Consider the following 5741-nt stretch of genomic DNA (forward strand, 5'->3'; position numbering starts at 1 on the left):
GCCGCCAGCCCACCCGGAGTGAGCCCCGCATGCTGGCACGACTGGGGGACACTCACAGCTCTGCCAGCGCCGAGAGGTTCGCCAGGAGCCCAACGTCCAGCGCCCGGAGCAGGTTGTGGGAGACGTCTCTGAGGAGTGAGTGGCCGTGGGTCAGGGCCAGAGCCCTTAGTAGGCCAGAGGCCATCCCTGGGCCCATCCCACACATTGCCAGCATCCCCAAGCTATGGCCTCCCACCCTTGAGCTCCCCACTCCCAGAGGTCAGGAGGGGCCTTTCTGATGGAAGACCCAAATGAACACTCATCTGGGGAAACCAAGCCGGGAGAGGCCTGGGGGCCTCAGCCCTCTGCACCCATCTCAGCCCTATGCCGAGTGCCACCTGGACCTGTCCACCCAGGGCCAGGAAGGGCACGGACCCCCAACCCATCCCACGCAGGGCCAAGGCCCCCCATCCCCTGTCCACAGTCCCCCACAGAGCCAAGGTCTCCCAACCCTGTCTACAGCCCCCACACAGACTCGAGGGGCCCCCATCTCCTGTTCTGAACCCAACAGGGTGGTCCCACTGTGGGACCACAACCAGGTATGACTGTGTGAGAAGCAGGCTCACTACCAGGCTACCAGGGAGCACAGCGGAGCAGGCGCCACCTTGAGGCATAAACCCAGAGAAACAAGACCTCCAAGACGGCCAGGCACTGGGGCACACGCCGGTAACACAGCACCGTGGGAGCTGAGACGGAAGGATCGCCTGAGCCCAGGATTTTGAAACCACCCTGGGCAACACAGTGAGACCCCGTATCTACAAAAAAATACACATTAGCCAGGCATGGCGGCATGCGCCTGGGGTCCCAAGTACTCGGGAGGTAGAGGAGAGAAAAATCACTTGAGCCCAGAGAGGTCAAGGCTACAGGGAGCTGAGATCGCATCACTGTACTCCAGCTGGGGTGAAACGGCGAGACTCTACCTCAAAAATAAATAAATACATACATAATTAATAAATAAAACATCAAAGACCAGCCGACCTAACTCCATCTAAAATACACAACTTCTACGCAAAATATAAATAAAATTAGAAAACAAACTACAATCTCAGAAAAGCACTAGCAACTTAGACGACATACTAAAGGCCAAAAATACCCTCCTGACACACAGCTAATAAAGAAAAAGTCAACTATTCCAGTTAAAAAGAAGAAAAGGAAACTGGCTGTGGTGGCTTATGCCTGTAATCCCAGTGCTTTGGGAAGGCCAGGAGTTTGAGACCAGGATGGACAGCATAGCAAGACCCCATCTCTACAAGGAAAAAAAGAATCAGCCAGGCATGGTGGTGTGGAGCTGTAGTTCCAACTACTCGGGGGGCTGAGGAGGAAGGATCGCTTGAGCCAGGGAGGTCGAGGCTGCAGTGAGCTATGATTGTGCCACTGCAGTCCAGCCTGGGCGACAGAGCAAGACCCGGTCTCGAAAGAAAAGAAAGAGAAAGCAAGAAAAGAAAGATGGCTGGGCACGGTGGCTCACTCCTGTAATCCCAGCACTTTGGGAGGCCGAGGCCGGCAGATCACTTGAGGTCAGGAGTTCAAGACCAGCCTGGCCAATATGGTGAAACCCCATCTCTACTAAAAATGCAAAAATTAGCTGTGTGTGGTGGCAGGCGTCTGTAATCTCAGCTACTCGGGAGACTGAGGCAGGAGAATTGCTTGAACCCGGGAGGCGGAGTTTGCAGTGAGTTGAGATTGCACCGCTGTATTCCAACCTGGACAACAGTGCCAAACCCTGTCTCAAAAGAAAAAAATAATAATAATATAAAGTGACCAGGTGTGTTGACTCATGCCTGTAATCCCACCACTTTGGGTCGAGGCAGGAGAATCACTGGAGCCCAGGAGTTTGAAACGAGCCTAGGCAACAGAGTGAGACCCTGTCTCTATATTAAACACACACACACACGCGCGTGCACACACACACACACACACATACAAAGGCAGCCAGACTATGCACTAGGAACTGCCCTGGGAATCCCTTTGTGTTCTCACAACAATCCCATTTCACATGAAGAAACCTAGGCACAGAAATATTCAGTAACGTGTCCAGGTGTGGTGGCTCACGCCTGTAATCCCAGTACTTTGGGAGGCTGAGGCAGGCAGATCACGAGGTCAGGAGTTCGAGACCATCCTGGCCAACATGGTGAAACCCCGTCTCTACTAAAAATACAAAAATTAGCTGTGTGTGGTGGCAGGTGCCTGTAATTCCAGCTACTCAGGAAGCTGAGGCAGGAGAATTGCTTGAACCCGGGAGGCAGAGGTTGCAATGAGCCGAGATCACACCACTGCACTCCAACCTGGGTGACAGAGCAAAACTCCGTCTGAAAAAAAAAAAAGAAATATTAAGTAACTTGTCTGAGGCCACATAGTTACCAAGACGTGGGAGCTGGGACTTGAACCCAGGCAGTCTGGCTGGATTCATGCCTGCAGCCTCTGCACTCCTGCTACTTACTGTGTGAGAAGCGTCTGTTCTGTGGAAGGTTGTGGGCTGAGATCTTTCCATGACTTCCACTCATTTACCCCCAAGGCTGTTCTTAAAGACGGGCATGACAGTTATGCCCATTTTACAGATGGGGCCCTGAGGCTCACAAGGGCACACCATTCACCCATTTCCACAAAGCTATAGTTAGTTAGCAGAGGGCAGAATTCGGCCGCCTCTCCCCTAGCTTGAAGGCTGTGATTGACACAGAGGTTTTTTTGTTGTCGTTGCTGTTGTTTGTTCCTTTTTCTTTTTTTTGAGACAGGGTCTTGTTCTGTCATCCCGGCTGGAGCGCAGTGGTGCGATGTCAGCTCACTGCAAACTCTGCCTCCAAGATGCAAATGATTCTCGTGCCTCAGCCTCCCAAGTAGCTAGAATTACAGGTGTGCACTACCACGCCCAGCTGATTTTTGTAGAGATGGGGTTAGTAGAGATTTGTTTAATAGAGACGGGGTTTCACCATGGTCTCTACTAAACCCTGTCTCTACTAAAAATACAAAAATTACCCAGGCGTGGTGGCACATGCCTGTAGTCGCAGCTACTCAAGAGGCTGAGGCAGGAGAATCACTTGAACCTGGGAGGTGGAGGTTGCAGTGACCCAAAATCATGCACTCTAGCCTGGGGTCTCGCTTTTGCCCAGGTTAGAGTGCAGTGGCACAATCATAGTGGCTCACTGCAGCCTCAAACTCCTGGGCTGAAGGGAATCCTCCCACCTCAGCCTCCCAAGTAGCTAGGACTATAGGCATGTGCCATCATGGCGAGTTAATCTTTTGTGTGTTTTTATTGTCTCGAGACAGAGTCTTGCTCTGTTGCTCAGGCTGGACTGCAATGGCGTGATCCTGGCTCACCGCAACCTCCACCTCCTGGGTTCAAGCAATTCTCCTACCTCAGCCTCCCGAGTAGCTGGGATTACAGGTGCGTGCCACCATGCCTGGCTAATCTTGTATTTTTAGTAGAGACAGGGTTTCGCCATGTTGGTCAGGCTGCTCTCGAACTCCTGACCTCGTGATCCACCTGCCTCGGCCTCTCAAAGTGTTGGGATTACAGGCATGAGCCACTGAGCCTGGCCTGGTGAGGTAATTTTTAAATTTGTTATAGAGACAAGAGTCTCTCTTATGTTGCCCAGGCTGGTCTCGACCCCCTGGCCTCAAGTGATCCTCCCACCTCAGCCTCCCAAAGTGCTGGGATTACAGATGGGTGTCACCGCACCTGGCCTCTGAGGAGGATTTCATTATAAACCTGCCCTGAAGGGAGGGAATCCAATTTTACGAGAGGGTGTAGCCTGGTGAGGCCTGGATGACCTCCGGAGGCAGGGGCTTGTGCCTGGGCTGAGGCCTAAGGGACAATGGGCAGACATGAAGTTGCCCCAGGCAGAGGGTACAGTGTGGGCAAAGTCAGGAAGTGGCAGGGCTTGGATCACTCCAGGAAGAGAGAGGAGTCATGTGTCACAGGAGCTCAAGACCCAGAGAGGGAGGCAGGCAGGCAGGCAGGGACCAAGCTTGGGCACAGCCAGGAAGGCAGAGGGCATGGTGGGGCCAATGGAATCATTACCCAAGACGGGGATTTTCAGGGAAACAGCTTAGATAAGGCCAGGTGTACAGTAGCTCCCACCTGTAATCCCAGCATTTGGGGAGGCTGAGGTAGGAGGACTGCTTGAGCCTGGGAGTTCGAGACCAGCCTAGGCAACATAGTAAGACCCCATATCCATAAAAAATTTAAAAAAGGAGTTTGTGTTCCTGTAGTAGCAGACTTGGGAGGTTGAGGTGGCAGTATCACTTGAGCCCAGGAGTTCAAGGCTAAAGTGAGCTGATTGAGCCACTGCACTCCAGCCTGAGCAACAGAGAGATACGCTGTCTCAAAGGAAATACAAATTAAAAAACCAGCCGGGCATGCTGGCGTGTGCCTGTAGTCTCAGCTACTTGGGACACTGAAGTGGGAGGATCGCTTGAGCCCAGGAGTTCAAGGCTGCCGTGAGCTATGATTGTGCCTCTGCAGTCCAGCCTGGGCGACAGAGAAAGACCCTGTCTCTTAAAAAAAAAAAAAAAAAAAAATCTTAGATAAGAGGATGCTGTGCCTCCCTGGGGGTCTTCAGTCACCCATAGTCCTGGCAAGAGAGGAGGGCCAGGAGAGAGCTTCACCCACCTGCTGTCCTGCCCATGTGACATCCGCAGGTGCTGCCATGGCCACGACTGTTGTTACACTCGAGCTGAGGAGGCCGGCTGCAGCCCCAAGACAGAGCGCTACTCCTGGCAGTGCGTCAATCAGAGCGTCCTGTGCGGTGAGTCCCCAGCAGCACCATGCCACCCACCCCGAGTATCCCCTGGGCACCCTGGCATAGCCAGATGACTTCCGTGCCCCTGTTGCAATAACCACTGCTTCCAAGTCTCTATAGACCACCCCTTGGGTATATCTAATGTAAGTGATATTTATTTTATTTATTTTTTGAGTCAGTCTCGCTCTGTCACCCAGGCTAGAGTGTGCTGATGTGATCTCGGCTCACTACAACCTCTGCCTCCTGGGTTCAAGCGATTCTCATGCCTCAGCCTCCCAAGTGGCTGGGACTACAGGCATGCACCATCACGCCCAGCTAATTTTTGTATTTTTTCAGTAGAGGTGGGGTTTCACCAAGTTGGCCAGGCTGGTCTCAAACTCCCCACCTCAAGTGCTCTGCCCGCCTCGGCCTCCCAAAGTGCTGGGATTACAGGCATGAGCCGTGGTGTCTGGCCCTAATGTGAGTGATCTTTAACACTGAGCACTTGAAAAAGAAAACCCTGAAGAAACCTAATTCTTTGATGTCTGGATGACAAGGAAGAAGATAGAAATGGCATCAGATAATAAACAGTGTAAATGTTTATCAGAAAGAGGCTGGTGGTCGGGACAAGTAGGAGGATTGCTTGAGTCCAGGAGTGCATCTCTACAAAAAAGTTAAAGGATTTTTTAACATTGGCCAGGCGTGGTGGCACACATCTGTGATCCCAGCTACTTGGGAGGCTGGGGCAGGAGGATTGCTTGAAGCCCAGGAGGTTGAGGCTGCAGTGAGCTGTGATCGAGCCACTGCACTCCAGCCTGGGTGACAGAGCAAACTCCAGTCTCAAAAAAAAAACAAATAATAATATTTTACATAACCAACCACTTCTAAAGATTAAAAAAACCCCTACGATTAAAAACCTCAGGTCCCTCAGGCAATCATACCAGATATTGAAACAAAGCAATAACATAAGGACTGCAGTATTCA

General features: G+C 52.0%; 1 pseudogene across 1 annotated transcript in view; it reads right to left on the reverse strand.

The window, feature by feature from the left end:
* The window catches only part of PKD1P4-NPIPA8 (PKD1P4-NPIPA8 readthrough), a 34527-nt pseudogene extending 34430 nt beyond the window's left edge, over positions 1 to 97 (reverse strand). Inside the window, exon 1 of the transcript NR_146336.1 lies at positions 57 to 97. The product of NR_146336.1 is annotated as a PKD1P4-NPIPA8 readthrough (transcript). The remainder of the gene's footprint in view (positions 1 to 56) is intronic.
* Positions 98 to 5741: the final 5644 nt, after the last annotated feature.

The sequence above is a fragment of the Homo sapiens genome, chromosome 16 (genome assembly GCF_000001405.40).
Source record: "Homo sapiens chromosome 16, GRCh38.p14 Primary Assembly".
Taxonomy (NCBI): domain Eukaryota; kingdom Metazoa; phylum Chordata; class Mammalia; order Primates; family Hominidae; genus Homo; species Homo sapiens.